Below are 23,339 nucleotides of genomic sequence, written 5' to 3' on the forward strand. Positions count from 1 at the left end.
GTCATCACAGGGCTGCCCAAAGAGCTGGACATGTGGATATTTTATCGAAAGGATGAGCAAATGTTAAATTAGGCTGAATAGAAAGCAGTCACTTACTGAGATGTATGGCTAAGAAGTGTTGACGGTCCCTGAGCACCCAGGATTTTCTGTAGGGGAACACTTACCCTAGTTTGCCCAGGATGGTATAGTCTTGTTTCTATCTATTGTAGATCAGTTAATGCCTATAAATTATTTCTAGACAGTGTTCATTCTCAAAGTGTCCTGGTTTAGACAATAAATCATATGGTCACGTACCATATCTACTACTCCATCTACTGCAGCCTTGTTAAAATATGCAACAGATTTACCTGTCCACGCTCTGCCCGAGGAAGACAGCTGAGGAGTAGGATGAAGGATATCATGTGCTTGTCTTTTCTGCTCAGCATGAATGATTGTCCCTGATGAGACAGTGAATGAATAACTATGTGATTCTCAGTGTCTATACGTGGATCTCTATCTTGCAAGAAGAGGTCTCAAGAATATGGATATACGGAGCAAGTATTTTTTATAATTTAAAGGAAATGCTGCCCTCAGAGGAACTGAGTGAGGCCACACACTTCTTGGCTCTTCACTCCCCAAAGGCCAGAGCTGACCATGGGGAAAGCAGTGGACACGAATGGACACAGGGCATGGGCAGACCTCATTTCAGTCTCGTCTCTACCAGTTGTGAGTCTGTGAGTTTCAGCACATTAGTTAGCAGCACTGAGCCCTCATTCCTTTATCTGTAAAATGAGTTCAGTAAGTAACACACTGTAGGGCTGCTGTGAAGGGAGAGTGAAAAAGCACAGAGCTTGGCTCATCCCTGGGCCCAGTGTATCACAGCTGTGACTGATCTGCACCCTAGCACCGTGCTCTGCTGCTCTCAGAACTTCAGGGCAGTCTGATTCCATCAGCTGCCTGCAGAGGAGTTACTTTCAAGGCTCAGCTAGCCATTCCATCAATAGGGATATGCTGAGTGACAGTGAGGTATCCCAGCACATCACTTCACACTCCTGGGAATAAGAAAGCTCTACAGGCTTACCAGCAAGCATCTTAAGGTGACTTCTGGAAACAAAATTCACTTACTTGAAGTGGTTAGCAAACAATTCTTGACACTTGCCAAATTACAGTTAAATACTGGGGGGTGAAGTGCGGAGATTACTTCTCCTTGTTCAGAGTAAAAGAAAATGGGGGGGATGCAGAAAAAAGTGTCAAGGCACTTTTGTGGATTGGATAGAATGAACTGGATTTTGAAGATGCCCAGGACCTGAATAGGTCGACACCGTGGGAGGAGGGCATTGCAGGCAGATACGCACCTTGAAGATGGATGTGGGGCAGGAGTCAGTGCTGTGGGCAGGGCTGTGTGCAGGGGCGCCGGGTGGTCCATGTGGAACAGATAAGAATTCGCATTTGGGGAGTTGGGTTGTGTAATGGGTTTGTACTAGGGAAGGTGTGGGTAGCAAAATGCTCCTCCACTCCTTCCCCCAAAAGAAGACACATGGATTGGAAACATGTGACTGGACCTGGAATAGCTAAAATAAAGTTGGATGATTGTCAGCATATGTTAATGTTGCTCTATGATAACAATGAGTTAAAGGATGGCAGGAAAGAGCGCCGTCTCTCCTCCATCTGCAGGGAAACAGCAGTGGTATTGTGCTCTGGAGCTTTCTAAAGTGGAAATGGAGAGGTGAACCTGGGGCCTAGAGCAGAAGGACCTTCTGCTTATCAATCCTTCCTCTGATTGATAAGTGAAATAGAAGAAATGTCTAGGTATCTTTCTTCCTAGAAACGCTTGATCTCCCTCTCCCCTCACCACAGTGGGTTGAGGGCCTTCTGTGACTTTGGACAGAGCACTCAATGCACTATGCTGCAATCTTGGTCTCCTCTACTCAGTTGCTGGCACCTTAGACCCAGAACCAGTATCATTTGCTTCTGTGGTCCTAGCCTCCCCAACAGAGCCAGGCACATAGTAGTTACTCAGTGTTTGTGGGATGTGTGATGAAAACTGCTGCTAGCTGTCAGAAGCTACCAATTGTTGTGTTTTCCTGGGTCATGCTAACGTGACTCATGAGACTGTGCTTGGAGTTATTTCCCAAATAGCCTTCGCACCAGGAGCTGTCCGCTCACACTCAGTTGTTCCTCTGAACAGCTGACGGAAGGCGTGTGGTGGTGCAGAGGTGCTGGAGAAGAGGGAGGCTGGAGCCACACAGGAGTGGCCAGGGGCAGTGCAGGGACCCTCCAAAGGATCCTGTCATTGACCCATCAGGTCCAGGCCGCAAGCTCTGGTCAGTTCCAAGTCTCTCTTCTCTCCTCCTCCTTACTAGTCCGGGATTTCCTGCTTTCCTTTCATTTTTCAACCCTATTCCATTTGATCTCTTGAGCCTTTGTTTCCCCTTTAGACTTGCTACTGAGTTGATCACATCTTTCCAGTTCCCCTTTTCCTCCCTGAACCCTAAATCCAGCCCCAGGACCTCTTGCTTTGTGTACTTAGTCATGTGTATTGATTTGCATCTCCTGCTCATTCTTGTGGAGGAGCAGAGGGCAGCCCCATTGGCAAGCTCTGGGAAGGGGATCCAGGATCTCGGTGCCTTGCAGTCTCCACTCACGGACCTTGAGTTAGACCATCTCTCCCATTCCAGATCTCGCCCAAAGTCCAAGGACCCTTTCTTTTGTTCATCCCTCCCCACCTACCTCTTAAGACTGGAGCTCATTAAATGTTTACCCTCCTGCGTATGTGTTTGTTCTACTGACAGTCACTAGGGTGGTTCTCTTCCCTGAGGCAGTTTTGATAGGTTTTGAATGGACATTGGGTCAAATGGACTTCACTCCATAGATGCCCTTGTGATAGTAGACACTCTGAAACATCTTTGAGCCTCAGTTTCCGTCTCTGGAAAACAGAGGTAATAATAGCATGGCCACCTCCCAGGGCTGTTGCGAAGGTTGAGTAAGATAAATCAAGCATTCAGCAAAGTGCCTGGCACAAAGTTTATGGCAACGAATTTTATTCCAAAATCTAGGCCTGAACGAGCAATTAAGGCACAATGAGAGGTTTAAGTAGTGTCCCCAAGCTGCGAATGTGCCCATTCATCCATTCTCCCTAAGGCTGAAGGGCTCTTCAAAAATCAACACTTAAGACATATATTTTCTGTCTGTTGACATTTTCCCCCCTATAGACAATAAGCAACTCAAGGACAGGGACTGTGTCTTATTAATTTTTGTGTCCCAATGCCCAGAACATCACCTGCCATCAGTATTTGATGAAACAATGAACAACAAATGAATAGATAAATGAACAAGTGAATGAGCAAGCATCTCAAAGTCCTCCTGACTTTGGAGGAGGAAAAGTCTGGAAAGCCTTATCTTATGATTGTTTCCTTTCAAACGGGTGCCCAGCACCCCAAGTGTTGCAATGGAAAGTATTCATGTAGTTCTTATTGCTGCCAACAAACAGCGTGGTAAACTACTGTGTACCAGGCACTGTGCGAGGCTCTGAAATTACCAAAAGGATTACAACCTGGCCTTGCCCTTAAGAGGTTTAGAAGCTAGAGAGAGACACAGATAGTTGCTGTAATGGTTGCAGTATGGGAGAGTTTTAATAGCGGTATAAAGAGAATGTCTGGAAGCCCGGAAGAGGAAGTGATGAATTCTGTGGAATGGTCAGGGAAGGCTTTAAGGGCACATGGCCTGGACCTGGAAGCATCCCTTAGGAATCGCTGCTTTAGGACTGTTGTGAGGCACAGGTGTTACACTGAGAACTCGGTTTGAATAGGTAGGATGAGGTTGGACTTAAGGGACTGTTGAAAACCGGGTAAAGGTACTTGGACTGCAACCAATCTGTCTCACGCTTTTTCACAGGAGGAACCAAAAGCAGAGGAGACTAAATGGGAGCTGCTGGGGATCTAGGACATTGTGTAGAGCAGCCTACTTGTTCAGAATTTCCTGGAAGTCTTCTGTTCTGTCCTAAAAATACATGTGAATTTTGCATCTTACTCTGTAATACAGGCATATTTATTTAATGTAAGAATTTTTTTCCCACCCAAGCCCTAAGTAAAATCAGTGTCCCAGGAAGATGCCCCATCATCATGCCACAGCTTTGTCAGACTCCTCGGCACACCAACAGTGCCCTGGACTGGGTTTGGGAGCATTGGCAATAGCCGTCAAAGGTTCTGGGGTGAGATGTGGCACACGGAAAGCTGGTGTGGTGGGATGGAATTCTGAGCTCTTGGCGGCATTCATGGTCCCAGGGGATAGTTATTGCCTCAGGAGAAATCAAGTCAAATTATTGGCTTTAAGTTCCAAAATAAGTTCTTAAAGCTCACAGCAGAGATAATGTCCTTGGAGAGCGAGGTTTTTGATTTGCCAGAGAAGTATTTTGGAATACAGAAGGTTAATTCCTAATAGGATCTGGTCAAAAAGTTAATGCTAGAAGTTAGAGTGAAAAAAAAGAGAAAGAAATAGAAGAACCAGGCCACCAAGTCTGCAAATCAGATAAAAGGATGCCCTGGCCAGGACAGGAGCTTCTGAGCAGAAAAGGACATGTTAAAATGTGGTTGGTCCCTGCCCTTCTGGGAGCCGGAGAGAGGCAGATATCACTCCCAGAATTAGCTGGATATTCCATGAGTTCTAAATAGATTTTTACTTGTGCAGGGGCTGTGGGTGGTACATGTGGAGCAGAGAAGAATTTCTGGAGAAATTCTTCTGGAGAGTTTGGCTGTGTAATGGGCTTGTACTGTGGTATGACGCATATTTCTGGAGTTTGGCAAACCCCAGAAATATGTGCCATGCCTTAGTGAAGTGGGGGACGTAAGAGGCGGCACGTAGGGACCCAAGGCAGAGGGCCCAGTGAAAGGCCTGAGTTTTCCTTAACTCCAGACAAAGATATTGGAAATCTAAGTGGACTACGGCATAAGACCAGACACCTATCCCCACCCCAATACAATGACACAACCGCAAACCTGAAATACATCCCGGGAAGAAGAGGGAATGGAGAAGACACTGGATTTAAGTGAATTTAAACATGAAATGACTGAAAATTCTCTACGTTTTTGGCCATGTGGTGGAAATGGAAGTTGGAGGTGGAATAGAAATATAAAGTTATAATTGTTGCAGTTGTTGGCCTTGGAAACAGTTCCGCATCCACAGAGGTCTAGATGGTTCCACAGTTTTTGGAAGACTGTGCTGACAGTAGAGTTCAGGATGGAGGGAGAAGGGAGGCAGAAAGGGAGATCAGGCTTCCAGGAAAGATGGAAAGAAGTGAACAGGAGGCCTCTCTCCACCACACTTTGGGACCAAATGTTCCCTGGCATGAAGGAGAGAACTGAACAGATGAAAGGGAAAATAAACAGTGGAAGTCATCCTGTCCAGGTCCCAAATGCATCCGAAGATTTCTGGGTGCTATCAGCCAGCCAGTGTTAACTTGTCTCTCTACGGTCATCCTTTGGAACAAGAGGTTGAGCTATATTAATAAGAGGCAATGTTTCAGAGTGGGGCTGTCTGGGAGATGCTATGCAAATCACTCTGAAAGCCAGGACTTCAGCTACTGTCCCAGCCATAGCTGCTAGTGCCAGTTTAATGTGGTGGCCCCATTTGTGCCATGGCTGGAGCCCAAGCAAACATTACTCAGAGAGGCTAAGAGGCTTCTTGGCCAAGCGAAACTGCACGTGACCTCTTCCAAGCCAAGTAAGAAGCACTAGCCCGAAACGGGAGGTGCCATTGCTTGGTCTCTCTCTGATAAATTAGCTGTCAAACTTACTATGGTATATAATTCGTTGTTCAAGGGATTTGGAAAAACACGACCAACATGACCCAAAGATCTCTTCCCTTAAATCATTTTTTTTTTTTGAGACAGATTCTCATCCTGTTGCCCAGGCTGGAGTGCAATGGCACAATCTTGACTCACTGCAACCTTCACCTCCTGGGTTCAAGCAGTTCTCCTGCCTCAGCCTCCTGAGTAGCTGGGATTACAGGCGCATGCCACCACACCCAGCTAATTTTTGTATTTTTAGTAGAGATGGGATATCACCATGTTGGCCAGGCTGGTCTCGAACTCCTGACCTCAAGTGATCTGCCCCCCTTGGCCTCCCAAAGTGCCGGGATTACAGGCGTGAGCCACCACACCCGGGCTTTAAGTCTTTAAGTGTTCACCAAGAATCGAGACCTAGGAACATTTTTTTCCTGTGTCTCAGACTGAACAGAGGGCAGTAGTTTTCACCTGCTTTCCCAAGCAGCTCTAAATTTGTTTTTTAGAATTTGAATCAGTTGGCTTTCACGTGTGCCTAAAGGAAGGAGAGAAATATGGAATGGGCAGAGAGGGATAGAGGTGAAAGGAACTATGAGTGGGTCTGTTTTTCGGAGACCTCTGAAACTGAGAGTGGCTGCAGTTTTAATTAGAATGTACCAGACGACGTGCCAGTGCCTAACATAATCTTTTTCTACTTTGTTATCCTATTAAAATTCGAGAAATTTCAAAGAAAAGGAACTGGTGCTTACCCCACTTCTAATCCAATATTACAGCTCAAACATTACTGCCAAATTCCAGAGAAGAATCCTAACGATGTGGTGATGCCACCAATCCCGAGTCTTTTTGCCAGGTCTTGCTTGCCTCTGGTAAGAGCCACAATATTACCCCTTCGCTTCCTCGCCCCCTCTGACTCTCCCTGCCTGTAGCTGGGTGGCTGTCCACCTCCCTACCTCGCTAAAAAAATGAAACGGCAGATCCTGTGGAAAACTGGAGATTACAAAAAGGAACAGGCTCCATTCCAAGCTGTTTCATTTTCTTCTGCCTTTTCTTTTCAAAAAACACTTATTTATTTATTTTCTCACTTAACTGCTATAAAAAGAAAATATCGCTAGCCACTCACAGATGCTGGCATCCCAATTCAAGGAGATTGGATTACTGAAGTCTTTGCAGAACAATTGCTAGACAAAAAGGTGGTCGGTGAACTCCAAGGAAATTAAATACCTTTATCTTGAAAAACATGAGCTCACAATGAGGCTTCAAAGGAACATAAATACATCACCAGGCTGTGAAAATCAGGGTTCCCTTTCAAGAATGGAAAAGAGGCCAGTGGCATTGACTCACAGAATCCTTGGAAAACAGGAAGTTTGCTGTCTGGCACGGTGGGAATGGAAGTGTGAGACATCTTAGCAAGAGTGGGGGTGAGTGATGGGAGTGGAGGGGGCCCCAGGGATGCTTCCCTCTCTCTTTCTTCTCATGGGATCCAGCGTGGTTATCCTGGTTCTCTGGTTTCTCTGGAGAGAGCCGAGGCTGGAAACCTGAATATGGGAATTTAGATAGTGTTTCAGAGAGATGCTGTGGAGGAAGCCTCTCTCTGATCAAATTAGATCTATTTTTGAGAGAGAGAAACTCCAGAGGGATTTCCAGAAACCATGATCAGAACAGAGGCAAATGGTGGCCCCATGAGTCTGCAACAAAGCAGGTCACAATTGTTAAGACTTCAGCTCACTGTTGTCTGGAAACTGGGCCAAGATTAAGCCAACAAATCATCGATTCAAACATGCGATGTCATGTTCTGAAGGACAGAAGGGGATTTTATAAGCTGAGCTGTAACTCACACGTAGACCCCCTCACCTCTACCCTGTGTCCCTCTAGAGGTTCCCAGGAATGTGTTCAGTCATTAGGATGCCAGGATGAGTTCTGTAATCACCCCCCTGCAGCATGAGTGGATGCCGAGTGACTGGGAGAGATGGTGTGGAGTAGACGGGAGGGGACTGGCATCAGTTTAGATCCAGGCACTTCCACTTGTCAGCCGTGGAACCTTGGGCAAGTTACCTAACTCCTCTGCACCTTGGTTTCTGTGTCAGGAAAAATGGAGGTAAGAGTAGTGCCCATTTCACAGGGTAACTGTAAGGATTGAGTTAAAACATTTAGCATGCTGACTTTGCTCATAGTAAACACTCATAAAGGTCAGCTTTATATTTATACAGAGCATTCGCTTTGGAATCAAATTGATCTAGAATTCACGTTAGTTATGAAAACATGAACAACCTAAGTTCTCTGAATTTCTCTTTCTTTAACTGTAAAGTGGGGACAATGGGCCTTCTCTATGGTGTTTTTAACGATAATTGAATGAGATAGCAAATGAAAAATGAGGCACTTGAGCTCATATTTTGATGGATTATAAGCAACCTCCCATAGCTCGTGTTTGGATAAATTGCAAAATTTATCACATACCTCTCCCATCCCTCTTCTAGTTTGAGTTCCTTTTGCCTACTTTTCTCCTATTATTCTCTCCAGAATGTGCTAGGTCTAGTCACCAGATGCCTTGGTGAATACAAGAAGAAATGGCAAACTTACCGTTTCAACATGATGAATCACTTTGAATTTTCTGGGAAGATCATGTAGGTCAGTTTATATCGGGGCACATAAAGTTGCTATTTACAATAATAAGTCCCTGGAGATCGGACTATTTGATACACTTGCATGGCTATAGGTGAATATAGTTCTGAAATAGAAAGTGCTTGAAAGCCATATGGTTCCAAGAATCCATGTTCTTGTCCAATGCTCTTGATGAGCCAGTGTGGCACAGAGCTTCAGCACCTAGCATAGTGCCCAGCTCATGGAAGCTCCTCAGTCAAGATCTGTTGACCAATGTCAAAGAGCAAATACATTGTCTCTTGCTGGGATCTCGTGGCACTAGTCAGTCCTCTGTGCAAGTGGATTCTCTGCACCTGCCTCCATGGCTTTTGTGGCCTCTGCCTTTTTTCCCAGCCTTCCCTCACTTTTTGTTCAAAAGGAGCTTTCCCTCTGTATTTTAGTTGCAGATTTCCACAGTGGTTCGTGGAGATATGTGAGTGTTTTAAGGGCTAGGACATGAGTGTACCTGAATCCAAGAAGTGGTTATTAGCCAGACAGAACCAAAGGAAGAGCAAGTGGGTGGGTGGAGATTCACATCTCTTCACAGGTGCTCTCTTCCAGGGTGCCATTCCCCTTTGTAGTTCAAGAGACAAAGAACATTATTCATTTGCATTTGTGAACTATCATTTTTTGGGCAAAATATTTGCGGGCAATCTGCGGGTGACACCAAAGTTAGTATTTAGCCAACCAGGAGTTTGTGGGGAGAGCGTGATTCTATTTCAGTGAATGCAACTGATTGCTGGGGCACAGCTGAGCCTCAGAGACTCAAGTGTCAGGAGAAAGTCCCAGTTTGTAAAGCCATCTGCCTGCATGGTTTATGTGTGGTCCCATCTGAAGAAGGGAAGGAAAGACATGACTAGATGTCTTCCCAGTCCCCCTTGCCATTGCTGAGGCATCTGTGAGTGCCGCGTGGGCCTTGTAGGCTGGAGGGAGTCCACATCAAGGGCCCCTTCTGATGAATGTCGATGTGCTGTGGAAGGCATTTGACTTCTAGAGAATGACTGATGACAGTGTTAAATGGAACTGCTGCGCTCTCCGAACTCTCCCTTCCCACTCCCCGCTCCATCTGTTTTTCAACTCTGACTCTGCCAGCAATCTATTCTTGCTTCCTCTTTCCAATAACTTCCTCAAGGCACGAATGGTATACAAGCCTTGCTTCTATGAGGAGGAGGCCACTCAGCCAGGAATCAGGATGCTGGAGCCAACACCCATGATTAACATGCTGGCCATGAAATGTGAGAAGCTGGGAAAGAAAGACTATGGGGTGTTTCAGTGACTCATGGTTTCTACCAGCCTCCTGTTAAACCTCAACTCCCCTCAAAGCTTTCCCTGATCTAATAAAAATTATCCCAGTGCAGGCCACATGCCTGTTAATAACTCTCCCAATACCCCCACCCAATACAGGCGGTCCATGTTGTGAATTGCTCATGTCAATATTCAGTCCCCTTTAGCCATCACTCAGTACAGTGTGGGCCATCTTCCTCTGTGACCAGGCTGGAGCACTCAACCAGGGCGGAGCACTCAACCAGGGCTGTCATGTTTTACCGTTATTTCAAACCAAATTTAATTAAAAAGGAATACATATGGGTCCAGAGCTTTTGGTAATGCAGCCCTCTGCATCTGGAATGTCTTTATCCTCTTTCTTTCTGCTCATTCTTTCCACAAACATTTACTGAGCTATAATGGGCCAGGTACCATGACCGTGAGGTTATAGAGTTGAACAAGGCATGGTTCTTCCCCTCAAAGAGCTCACAGTGTAGTGGGAAATCCAGATATATAAACTAGTGTATTATTTTATGCATAATAGTGATAAACAAGGTATTATTAGTAAAACACAAAAGTAGTATACCTAAAAGTCAGGTAAGAGTAGAGAAGGCAGCCTGGAGGAAGTGACCTCCGAGCTAAGTCTTAAAGCAAAGGTTAAGGTTAGCCAGATGTGTGTCTGGGGAGTAGGGGTAGGTTCCAGGCAGAGGAATTAACAGGAGCAAAGGTATGGAAGGTAAGAGCAACGATGCTGTGTGCTGGGAACTATAAACAATTCTGTTACTTGAGGATGTGTCACAGTTAGATTTTGCATTTCAGAAAGATCAGTGAGGCAACTGTGTAGTGTGCAGAGTTGAGAAGGAAACAGCTACAGGCAGGGAAATAGTTTTAAAGGCTACTGCAATAGTCCAAGCAAGAGATGGTGGGTGCCTGAACTAGGGAAGTGGCAGGAGGAATAGGGAGAAGGGTAAGAAACTGAAAAATATTTAGGAGGCAAAATCAGCAGGACTTGGTAATAGCCAAGACATGGAGGAGAGGCAAGAGACCAAAGGTAGGAAAATGAGAAGAAAATGTGCCCCGGGCCAATCAAAGGAGATTGAGGAGATTGGAAGAGAGCAATGAGCAATGGCTTTATAAAAAGCCAAGATGGGAGTGTGACTGACAGTGTCAAGTGCTAACAAAGGTCATGCAAGATCAGGACTAGAAAATTTCCATTAGGCTCGAAACAAAATGTTCATTGGTGACCACAGCGAGGGTGGTTTTAGTGGTGCAAGACAAAATTGCATGGGGTGAAGATTGAATAGCAAGAACAAAAGTGTATTCAAAACAGAATTATTTTCTCCTTTAGATCTCATAGACAGAATTACTTGGAGCTTAAAAGCTTTTTGAGTGTCCAAATTATGTTTGAGGTCTGAATAAAAAGTACTGGCTTCAGAATGCAAAAAGGAAACTGCAAAATTAAATGAAGACATGTTTAATTAAATATCTCCAAAATGTAACATTGTTTCAACTTCATTAATCTTTAAATTTAATATTTGTAAAAACTTCATTACATGTAGAAATAATTTTTTGATTAGATTTTTAACTTTGCAACATTCTTTTGTATGTATGTGCAATGATTGCTGAGAAAGCACAGCCAGTTGTAAGTTAACTGTTTCTTGCCACTCAGTAATATCAGAAGCAAAAATTTTTAAATGCATTTAACATAAGATCTGGGTGCATTTTGTTCTACTTCCTTTTATGTGAGATGGCTCCTCCAAATGTAAGTGTTTTTAAGGGCTTTTAGAAGGTCTTAAAATAATTCTGATGTAGACCACTCTCAAAAAGCTCGGCCATGGAAGGAGAGAGAAGTGTTGGATTAGACAGAGTTGGAGAGAGTAAGGAGAATTTCTTTGTCTTCAAGGAGGGAGAAACATGAGTATGTGAATGTGCTGAGGGAGAGAGCCAGTGGAGAGAAGACTGGAGGAGGACCAGGGAGGTGACTGATAGGGAGGCAGGGGGCACAGCTGGAACACAGGTAGCAGAAGAAGACCTAAAGGGGAAAGAAAACCCCCTCTACAGAAACAAGAGGAATGCGAGACCCTCTGCAAGGGGGCCTTGTCCTGTTTTCTTTTGTTTTTGTTTTTGAGATGGAGTCTCACTCTGTTGCCCAGGCTGGAGTGCTGGGGCACGATGTCGGATCAAGTGGCAGCCTCCACCTCTTGGGTTCGAGTGATTCTCCTATCTCAGCCTTCCGAGTAGCTGGGATTAACAGGTGTGAGCCACCATGCCCGGCTAATTTTTGCATTTTTAGTGGAGATGGGGTTTTATCATGATGGCCAGGCTGGTCTCGAACTCCTGACATCAAGTGATCTGCCTGCCTTGGCCTCCCAAAGGGCTAGGATTACAGGCATGCACCACTGCATCCAGCCCCTTTTCCTGTTTTCTATCTCGAGCACAACTATTGCCAAGTGATGGGGGCATCCTGTAGACTCTCAGCAGTCACTTGGGGACTCCAGTTACCTGAGCAGGTGGCCATCCTTCATGTCACCATTGTCATTTCCCCAGTCATGGGGGATGTCCACCCAGCCTCCCTCGACAGGGGCTGGCCAGAGAAGGTAATTCATCCGTGTTGCACAGATACACATCCTAATACTCCAGTTCTCACCACCCCTAAATCTGTGGGCTGAAGTATCTGCCTACAACCCCAGCCAGCTCCTTGGTACATTCCCTTTTAAGTGTCCCTTTTTCATCCCCTACTTCTTGTGGCTCTTGATGCTCCCAGAGTGAAAACTTTCTACCCAAATGCCCCAGGTTAGAGGGACAGGTGTTAACGTAAGATGTGGGTGCATTTTCTTCTACTTTCTTTTATGTGAGATTGGGCCTCCAAATATAGGTGTTTTAAGGGCTTTTTGCCCATTTAAGCACCTTCCCCCTGGAAGGTAGAATTGAGTTTTTAAATGATCCCCTATTTTTGATTGTTCAAAATACAGGATTCCCACATTCACACAGGTACTCAAGAGTTGACTGTGGTCCTGCAGATCAGAGTGTATAGTTCATTTGGTGTGTTCATCATGTGAGTCCTCAGAGTCGTTCCAAGCAGATTTTCAGTTGTAGGCAGGGACAGCTACTGCACTGTGTTATTTTAAAAACAAAAGTCAGACATCCACTTAGGGCTTTGTAAAAGGAAACCCTGGGCATACTGAAATGGCCATAGAGCTATTTTTCCAGCTTTCCAAGGTGCAGAAGGTAGCGTCGATTTCTGATCTGGCCCTGTGACTCATCTCATAGTGCCGTGCGAAGCTGACTGCCCCGACACTGACGAGGCTCCATGTTCTGTGAGGACATTACTGACTGAACATTCAGATGTGCAAGCATTCCTGAAAAACACGGGACACAAGAGACCCTCCTGGATGAAAGATGCCTTTTGATTTCTGATTGTGGCCCCAGTTGAATCAGGGTGTTTTGTGTTTGGGTTTCTCTAATGCCAAAAATAAAAAGCATTTAATTACATAGCTGAACTCAATGTTTGACACAGTGGAAATGAAACAGCCATATCATATCCTATAAGTATTTATTGACTATATACTGTGTGCCAGGTATCATGCTTTGCAATGAGGACATGACCAGAAACAATGTCTGACTCCCAGGAACTTACATACTTGCACAATGCTTCTAAAATTACCAATTTGTAAACTAATTTTAGGAATGACTAGAAAAGAATCACCTGTGAAACTTCTGTAAAAATACAGATTCCTGGGCCCCATGTCCAGAGATACTGATTGAGTAGGTCTGGGGTAAGGACTGGGAATCAATATTTTTAGTCAGCTTTCTAGGCAGTTCTGATGGCAGCTGGTTTGTGAACCACTCGTTTGGTGGGATAAAAAGTTTTACTTTCCAAATAAATATTTTAGTAACATGTTGACAAAGATAGGTAAATATAACTTTTTCTATCCATGGTTTGGTCAAAACAGTTGCTTTTATATCACATAAATACAATGTTAGGAAGATTGAGTAAAACTTTAATGAAACTATTAGAACTGACAGGTATTTTGGTGTCATGTCTCTCTCTATAAGCTGTCAAGAGTTTGCCCGAGCCCTTTTCTTAAATGGTCCTCACCTCCCAGCCCCAGACACCCTTTGGTAGGCTTCTTGCCAGTGTCCTTGATTGATGGCAAGATCTCTCTCTTCCATTTTATTTCAACTATGCTGCATTTTTTCCAGATAAATAATTAAATATCTTCAAGGACTGGGTGTCTACATGTCAAGTAGATGCATGGGTGTCTACTTGAGCATCTACCATACTCAAGTTCTTGTTTGAATGATTTTAGTATTTTTGATAAAATGATTGTGTCTTCCTGATCTTTTACAATATTTTTCATTTGTTATCACTTTCTTACAGGCCTGGGAATGGAGAATATTGGTGGAATCTTTGTGGTTCTTATTTGTGGCTTAATCGTGGCCATTTTTATGGCTATGTTGGAGTTTTTATGGACTCTCAGACACTCAGAAGCAACTGAGGTAAACTTTCAAAGGGGTATGATCGATCGTGTTGGCAGATGGGGTGAAGTTCACAGGCTCATGCACATATAAGGTTATTTCAGACGCTTACCACAGGAAGTGCAGCAAAGAGAATCCCAGTGCCCAGCAGAGGGGATTTGGATCAATGCTTCATTACTTAGTAATTATTATGAACAACAAAGCCTTCTAGAACTATCATTTAAGATATAGTTGAGAAAAATAGGTGAAAGTACCAGGTTACTATGGAAAAGACAACCTCAGTCCTTTCATTCTGAGTATGTTTTTGCCTTGCAGGGAAAGATCCTTAGAGATATCCCGACTCATGCGAACCCAAGAATTTTATCCCCCTTCTCGGGGATTTTGAATAAGTTCAATTCCCCAGCTGTGGCTTAGAGACAGGGTTAACATAAACTTTACCCAGGTTGAACAGTTTGAAAAGAAGGAAGAAGACTATGCCACTCTTCTTCCAACCCACCCCAGGGAAGATATATAAATCCTTACATGTTAATTGCATTATTAGATTTTTTTTAAAAGTTACATTAGCCTCTATCTCAGTCTCCCAACTCTGAATCTTCCTAAAAACCTTTCCTAATTGGCACTGGGAAAATATCTCACAGCAGGACAAACAGTGCCCCTGGAAGTCCGTGGAGTCTGGCCTCACATGGGGCCTTAACACAACACCGCCTGCCAGTCCTGGTCCACTGTGCTCAGCCTCTTTCCTGTCTCCTTGTAGGACTTCCACGCCGTTGCCCATTCCTCAAGCCCCTCTGCTTCTGCATGCGTAGAGCTTCATTTTACTTCCCATCTCCCAAGAAATCAGGAGTGGCTAGCCCTGAATTAAAACCCCCACTAAACATCTCCCCACAGCTCAGCCACCCTGCAGCTGCAGCAGATACCCCAGTCCTCCTGCTGTCCCTTCCTTGATCCTGTCTTTCCTCAGCTGCTCCAGGATTATCCTCTTTTGCCCCTGTATTTTTTTCTGCCTGCTCTTTCTCCAGTCCACCATTGTGAACGTGTCTGCCATATTTCAAAATAATAGGAAGATTACTGTTGCTCTTGCTCTATCCCTCTCCTCTTCCAAACCAAGGGGATCCAGCTGAGAGAATCTCAGTCTCCATCACCTCACTCCCGATTTGGTCCGAAACCCAGGGCAGCCTGGCTCCTCCCTACCCCTGCACCGAAAGGCCGATGCTTAAAGGTCTGACCCCTCCCAGTGGACCAAACCAAAGAGAATCTACTGGGCCTTATTGGACTTTGGTGTGTCCCTTGATGATGGGGATACTTTCTTTCAGAATCCCTCTTCCCTTGCCTTGCGTGGCACCCAGCTCTCTTGGTTCCCCTCCTGTTGCTGTCTCCAGCTTTACTGGCTTTTTCCTTTTGCCCACCCCTTAAAAGGTGGTGGTCTTATTTATTCCCTAAGACCTAGTTCAGGTGTTCCCTTCCTTGTGAGTCCTTCCTCATTTCTCCTGCTGTCTCCCAGCAATTGGTCACCCTCCTTCTTCCTGACACCAGTGTAACCTATGCATGAACCACTTACACACCACGCTGCAGTTATTTTGGTATCAGCCCCCTACTAGAGATTGAGCTGCCTGAAGTAAAGACTGTGTCTTTTATCCCTGTGCTTGACATGCAGTAGACAGTCAATAAATCTACATTGTTATAGTATTGTCACATGTAATAGATTAGGCAGGTGGTACTGTTTTTATTGTAGTTATCACTAGAAGCACAGAGAGGTTAAGTGACTTGCCAAGAGTCTCTGCTATTTAGTTAACAATTGGGGGGTGTGATGGGGGCCTATAATCCAAGTCGGGAAAACTAATGTAGGCCTTATTCCATTAAGTGACATCACCTTTCTGTAGCTGCCTCACATTTTGTTATTCTCCCCAAAGCTCACCCATGGTCTGGAAGTATATTGAAAAATTCAGCAAGTAGTTAGAGCAGTCCCAATAGCTAAAATAAAGAGTCAGTGCTATGTTAGCGATTTGGCTGTGGTAGAACAACTATGCCATTGGTAGAATTGGACGAAAGAACATTAAAGAACTGAGGACTTCTGCTCCCATATGGTCTAGGAAAGTGTCCTTTCAACTCAGAGTAGAGCACTCAACAGAGCATGTACAGGCTTGGAGTTGATAGGTTTAGGTCCAAATTCAGAGTCAGCTATTAGTCAATTTTTGGCAACATACATAACTTCTCTGAGCCTCCATTTCCACATTTGTGAAATGGATATAATAATAATAGTAATAGTAGTAATACAGGCCCATCGGCCAGGCACAGTGGCTCACGCCTGTAATCCTAGCACTTTGGGAGGCCGAGGCAGGTGAATCATGAGGTCGGCAGTTCAAGACCAGCCTGGCCAACATAGTGAAACCCCGTCTCTACCAAGAAATACAAAATTTAGCCGGGTGTGATGGCACGTGCCTGTAATCCCAGCTTACTGGAGAGGCTGAGGCAGAAGAATCGCTTGAACCCAGGAGGTGGAGGTTGCAGTGAGCTGAGATTGTGCCACTGCACTCCAGCCTGGGCGACAGAGGAAGACTCTTGTCTAAAAAAAACCAAAAACAAACAAACAAACAAAAATGCAGGCCCATCTATATTCTTTTTTTTTTTTTTTTTTTTGAGATAGAGTCTCAGTCTGTCGCCCAAGCTGGAATGGAGTGCAGTGGCAGGTATCTTGGCTCACTGCAACCTCCGCCTCCCAGGTTTACGTGATTTTCCCCACTCAGCCTCCCGAGTAGCTGAGATTACAGGCACACGCCACCACGCCCAGCTAAATTTTGTGGTTTTAGTAGAGACAGGGTTTCACCATGTTGGCCAGGCTGGTCCCGAACTCCTGACCTCAAGTGATCTGCCTACCTCGGCCCTCCAAAGTGCTGGGATTACAGGTGTGAGCCACTGTGCCCAGCCCTATCCTGTATTCTTCATCCACAGTTCTGACACCTAAAAAGCTTGGAGAGTTCCAAGTTCCTTGTAAGTTTGATGCAAATGCACTCAGCGGCGGCGTGGCTTGGCTGATGTTTGTGGCCTTTATCTCACACGGTGTGAGATGTTGCTACAGAAATATGAGCGGGTTTGAATTCAAGTCTGCCCCAGACCCACCGGGTGTGATACATACTCTACTGTTTGTGCTTTGTATTACCCTCCTCTTGTTTTGGTTATCATGAGGATACATCCACCTCCTGCTATAACCAGTTGGCTAAAAGAAATAAGAATCCTTAGCCTAAGGAACAGAATGTTCATAGAGACATGGTGGCCTTTTCAAATACTTGAGAGACTGACATGTGGTGGAGGAATTATTTATTTAGTAGGCTTCAAGGTCCAAACTTAGCTGGGATCAATGAATGAAAATTTCAGGGACAGAAATTGTTAGCTCGGTAAAAGGAAGCAGCATTTAATGGAAATGTGCAAAAAAAAAAAAAAAGTGAGATCATTGTCTTTGAAGGTGTTCAAACAAAGATTGGAGACCAGCTGGTGGGGCTCTTGAATATTATGGTATGGAGGGTGTTTGAACATTAAATGGGAGTGGAGTGAGGAGATGGACTGAAAGGCTTTTATCATCTTCATACTTAAGATGACACGATTCTGTGACCGCTGCCCCCTTCATCCCTCATCCCAGCGGACTCGCAGGGGGCCCACGGGGGCTGGTTGAGAGGCTGGGCCCTGACCTCGCTGTCTCCTCCAGGTGTCCGTCTGCCAGGAGATGGTGACCGAGCTGCGCAGCATTATCCTGTGTCAGGACAGTATCCACCCCCGCCGGCGGCGCGCCGCAGTCCCGCCGCCCCGGCCCCCCATCCCCGAGGAGCGCCGACCGCGGGGCACGGCGACGCTCAGCAACGGGAAGCTGTGCGGGGCAGGGGAGCCCGACCAGCTCGCGCAGAGACTGGCGCAGGAGGCCGCCCTGGTGGCCCGCGGCTGCACGCACATCCGCGTCTGCCCCGAGTGCCGCCGCTTCCAGGGCCTGCGGGCACGGCCGTCGCCCGCCCGCAGCGAGGAGAGCCTGGAGTGGGAGAAAACCACCAACAGCAGCGAGCCCGAGTAGTCCCGGAGGCCACAGGACGCGCAGAGGCCGGGCGGGGCGGGAGGGGAGGGGCGGGGCGGGCGCTGCTGTCAGCCGCCAGCCGGAACTTGTACAGCGTCGACACCTCTCCAGATTTCGGATCCAGTCACTTTTCAAAAAGATCAAGGAGCCTGACGCCCCAGCCAGAGACCGCGCCCGGTCAGGGAGCAGGGTCCACCCGGAAACGTTGCACCCAAAGGGCAAAGGACGGCCCTCCCTCCTGGGCACAAGGACCCATCTTCTCCCAGTGGGTCTTTCCCTCTCGCCAAAATAACAAGAGTATAGGGTGGGGGGTCCCTACCCAGACCAGTCCAATGAATTGGTGGAATCATCAGTTGAATTTCCCCCTAGTCAGGGGCCAATGTACCCTCCGTCTAGTTCTTACAGAAAAAAAAAAAATTAAACAGGGAAGTTTTTCTTTTCTGGATTTGTATATTTTTGTTAATGTTCTTTTCCCTTTTCTTTCCTCCTCTCCTTTTCTTCTTTGTCATCTTCTCAGTCCTGTTAATTTGTTTTGTGTTTTTTGGAGGGGGAGGCTGGGTTAGGGAATGGAAGCCTAAATAATCCCTATTTCTTCTTTTTCCTGAATTTTGGAATATTGCGTTACCAGTGCATCCGATTTCAGGTGCTTAACTCTCTGTATGGTGACTGAGGGGCCTGCAGGAGCACAGGAGAAGGAGTCTTGGGAAGAATCAGATGGAGAGTCTCAAAAGTCCATTGCAGTAAACTTTGAGATGCCAAAAAGCAATTAACTCATCCTATACTCAGACCTTGAAACGCCTGGAATGTCAAGGGTTAATCTGTCTTTTCTTTCCCTTTCTCTTTCTGACTGTCACTATTACTGGGTTTGATTTGATCTTTTTGTGAATGTAGTCTCTGAAGACAGACAGGGGAGGAGAACAGAATGCACAAAGTATCCTAGGACTTTGTTTAAGGAGCGGAAAGAGCAGATAGAATTTTCCCATACCATGGCCTTGGCTTCCGGTGGAACGTGCCGTTCACAGAGGCGGAAGGACTGGGCCACCCCGTTGGTATGGTGCATACTTTGTCAACTGCATCTCTTTTCAACCAAACTCAAATGAGTGGCTGCCTATGAAGCCAGACCCCCAAGACTATCATGGATTGGGTGGTTTCTTGCTACTTAGACGTGAGACCTGGGTGCAAGTGTATGTGTGTGTATGTGTGCGCGCGTGTGCGTGTGTGTATTTATTCAACAGAAAGACCTTAAGTATTCAAGAATTTGCTAGGTTCCTGGGAGAGAGGTGGAGTCTCCTAGTCAATACACGGGCCTGGGAACCAGGAACTCTTGAGTCGTAACCTCAGCTTGAGCAGTAGCCCTCCCACCTTGTATGACTTTAGGTAAAGCATTTAACTTCTCTTCCATCTACCAAATAGGAGTTACTGATGCTGTCCAGGTTACCAGGTGACTGCTAGTGACTGCTCTCCATGTGAGAAGTTTGCAGAGTCCAGAGCACACATCTGATGGGAGGGGCGAGGCTTTCTACAGCTGCTTGACCTTTGCTTGGCTTCACTAATTGGGAGTTTCACGCAGAGTTCTCATTGGCTGATGGAAAACAAATTCTATGCAATTTCTGATTGTAAACTTAGAAAATTCAGAGAGAAACAAACAGCCGCTACCAACCACCTCCACCTCCACCACCGCTGCCACCACCTTGAATGGAATTGTCCTCACTTTTGTTGCTGTTGCAAATGTACTAAAATAAAGACATCTTTGGAAGATGACGAGCTTAATTCATGTTTTTGCCATTTGGGTTGGTCGGCATCCTCTTTATGCCAGGACAATCAGTTAGGGCTGCCGTCCTGGGGGCCAAATGGTACCCTGATTATTCCTGTGAGGGATACTCGTTTTGTCCTCACCTGACCTCACTCATGAATTTGAATCCTTTATCTTTTTTCTCTTTAACCATCAAATGACAACAAGCTGTGCAAGACACTTGTGTCTTTTTTTAAACCTTGCCTTGATCCTCGTGGAGAAACGTGGATTTGGTGGGAAGGGCACCCGAAGGCCAGCTGACAACAAACCCCAATGGTGCCACTCTGCTCCAACCTGCAGCTCCATCCTATGCTTCTCACAGACAACGTGGTTCCTACTGTCAGATCACATTTGGGGCGGGAAGGGTGGTTTTTTAAAAAAACTCGTTTTTATGAGCAGGCTATCTTGATCAATAGCAAACTTTTTTTAATGGATTAGTGAAATAAATGTCCCCATGCATCATTTATAGTCTGTTTCTTTCTCCGTGTGGAATCAAGATAAGACTGCCAGCACTAGACGGTTTCTGTTAGCTGCTGAGACCAGGGCCTCACCTTGCTCAAGCTAGTGGGTGAATTTGCAACCAGCTAATACTCTTCCTTGGTTTGTTTCCACTTTTTATCTGTTGGTTGTTGGCTTTCTTTTCCATTCTGTATTTTCTATCTGACTCTGTATACTGTATAAAGCAGTTTTTTCTTGTCTGTTTATCTTTCTTCAACTGGAATATTTACAATAAAACAGAAACAAATCCTGAAATGTTAGTGATGGATGACAGCTGTTTGGGTTTAGAAAGTATGGTTCAGTGTGTCTAATATCCAGGTACTAGACTTGAAAAGCAAATAAAATCATAAACCCACTTTTTGTCTTCCCCTCCACCTGCCCTCTCTGTCTCCTTCTCTCCACCTCCCTCTCTACTCCCCCACCCGCTTTGGCTCTTTGTTCAGATCCCAGAAAAGTCTAGGTGGCTTCTTTCAATTTTTAGTCCTAGGAGCCTGAGCCAATCCACCCCCCCATCCCCAAAAGCGGATACATATGTTAATGAAGTTCAGGATTCCTAGGGTTTTGTCTTCCTAAATGCACTTTCACAGAATAGTCATCTATTGATACCTAGGGTAACTCTAGTCAGATATCACCCCAGATTCCACTGGGAGCTTGAAGATTACATCAATTAAAATATAATACTTTGCTTTATTTCTTTTAATTGCTTTGCAGGGCCCCAACCGTCACAAGATCTCACCTCAGAAACCAGGTAGAGTGTAAGTTGAGCACGGAGAGGGCCGAAAATCTTTTGGCTTCCTCTAATCCACTGCTCATATGAGAATATTCTTCCTGGGAACTTGCCAGCCAGCTCTCTTATTGGTTAGGTGAGACTGAAATATCATGATAACCAATCCACCTGGGGCCACTCTGTGAAAGTTTCTTAGTTTTGGATTCCAAGGAGCTTAATTTTCTTTTGGAATCCAAGGGGGAACTTCCCCATGTTGTAGGAGTCAAGTACACAAGGCCAGAAAAGGGCTGGGGCATTTCAGCAACACCAGATTGGTGGTTTGAGAGAAGCTTGAGAGACTCATTTGTGGCCCTCCCACCAATGGGGTGTTCACAGCAAGGTAAAACAGTCTGGAAATGATAAGGGAGATTTGAGTGCCTGACTAGTTGTCAGCTCTCTCGGGGTAATAACGAAGAGGCCTGTTTGGAAAATTCAGAGAAGGAATCCTTTCATAAAGATTTTGCTTATAGCTAGTGCTTCCTATGGGGCCTTCTCAAAGAGAAATTAAAGCACCATGAGTAATTCCTTTGCCTTTCGGTGAATGGTGACTTTCTCCCCACAGGCAGGTCCCCACAGTGGCCAAACAGAGAGTGCCCTCAGGAACTGACAACCTGCCCATCCTAAGGTTTGCCTCAAAGGCTGGGGATAGCATGCTCTCCTAAGACTTTTCCCATAGGGGAAAAAGTTGTTACTGGGTGTGGCTTCCAAAGGAAAAAAAAAAACTCCGAATTTTAGAGCCTACATGGTCAACAAGCTTCTTGTAATTTGAGGGCAATCAAGCAAGAGAAGTTCCGCCACTACCGTAAGAACATTATCATTCAAGTTTTATGAATTTCATACCAATTTCCAAATCTGGAGAATGAATTAAACAAATACGAATGTTACCATTCAACAAACAGCAGAACTAATGCTGAGATCAAGAAAGAAAGAAGTCTATGAAGGCAACGAAGTAAAAAATAAGCTCTCTACCAGAAGTGGCAGAAAATTGAGGCCCCAAGAAGGGTCATAAAAAAATTGAGCATATACTATAGCTGTAGGTTAACTAAGCATATGCATATAAATATTTCACTCACCAGGATTTACCGAAGCATGTCAGTGCATTGTGACTGATGGTGTACCTACTGGGGACTTGATCCTATTTACAAGTTAGACTAGATACAGATGATGGATGACAAATCCCTCCATCATCTGTATCTAGGGCAAAAGATCCTCCTGTAGAAAATTAGCTGAAGATCCTGCCCATTCTTCAGTATGCCTTGTGACCAATCAAGTGTTGTCTCTTGGTTGTCAGGGAACACTGGCACTTTTCCATAGATTGGTGAGTGACCTGGAGAGGGTATTTACCTAGCACCCAGCACCACATTAGATCTTGCCAGAAATGAGACATAGAAGCAGTGATCTATACTCTGCTTGAAGGAAAAAACTAACTTTACCTGTAAGAAACTGAAAAAAAAAATCACACAAAATATAACAATAAAAGTGCTACAGTGTGTGGTTTGGAATATTAACCATGTAGAAATTCAGAGGAGCTCAAGATTCTAAGTAGTTAAAAGAGCAAAGGAAGGCTGGGTGGAGGAAGCAGGACTGTTTGTGTGTTTGGGTTGTTAATTAATTAATTTATTTTTTTGATGTCTGGGAAATAAGATCTTGCTCATTGCCCTTGGAGTGAAATATGGTTAATTCATGTTGATGAATTCAGCACCCCTCTGATGAAAGATAGTTTGTTGTAGCTGTTGTTTTGTTTTCACCCAGTTCGTCCCTTTTTGAGGAATTCTGGCTCTCAAACGATGCTTCTTCCTGTTTGCTGCCAACACTAGAGATTCTCACCAATGTCTCATCCCTTGGCTTCTTTAAGTTGTATTAGTGGAATCAGCTGCAGATACAAACAGCCTAGCCCTACAGAATACAGAAAGGCTAACTGAAACAAGCAATGAAACTGTCTGAAGTGGATTGGGAGCTCTTTTCAGAAAAAAAAAAGATCAAAGAGTTTTAAAATTGGGGGAAGGAGTAAGAACACAGTACTGAAGGTCTGGAGCCAGTGTATAAATTAATACAGAACCAAACGTCCAAATTTCTGATGTACGGGAAC

The 23,339-nt window shown here is 45.1% G+C and overlaps 1 protein-coding gene across 12 annotated transcripts in view, besides 1 other annotated feature; it reads left to right on the forward strand.

Moving 5' to 3' along the window:
• The window catches only part of GRIK4 (glutamate ionotropic receptor kainate type subunit 4), a 477,159-nt gene extending 456,319 nt beyond the window's left edge, over positions 1 to 20,840 (forward strand). For all 12 annotated transcript variants that reach the window (NM_014619.5, NM_001440404.1, NM_001440403.1 and 9 more), the window contains 2 exons: positions 14,040 to 14,158; positions 17,838 to 20,840. In NM_014619.5, coding sequence (NP_055434.2) covers positions 14,040 to 14,158; positions 17,838 to 18,194 — 476 coding nt within the window. In that variant the 3' untranslated portion in view covers positions 18,195 to 20,840. The remainder of the gene's footprint in view (positions 1 to 14,039; positions 14,159 to 17,837) is intronic.
• Positions 17,958 to 18,037: a silencer, noted in NCBI's record as "silent region_3997". NCBI's record gives its function as "represses an Ori minimal core promoter by ATAC-STARR-seq in GM12878 lymphoblastoid cells {active_cell/tissue: GM12878}" and the evidence as "EXISTENCE:reporter gene assay evidence [ECO:0000049][PMID:35858748]".

Source organism: Homo sapiens, chromosome 11 (assembly GCF_000001405.40).
Source record: "Homo sapiens chromosome 11, GRCh38.p14 Primary Assembly".
Taxonomy (NCBI): Eukaryota; Metazoa; Chordata; class Mammalia; order Primates; family Hominidae; genus Homo; species Homo sapiens.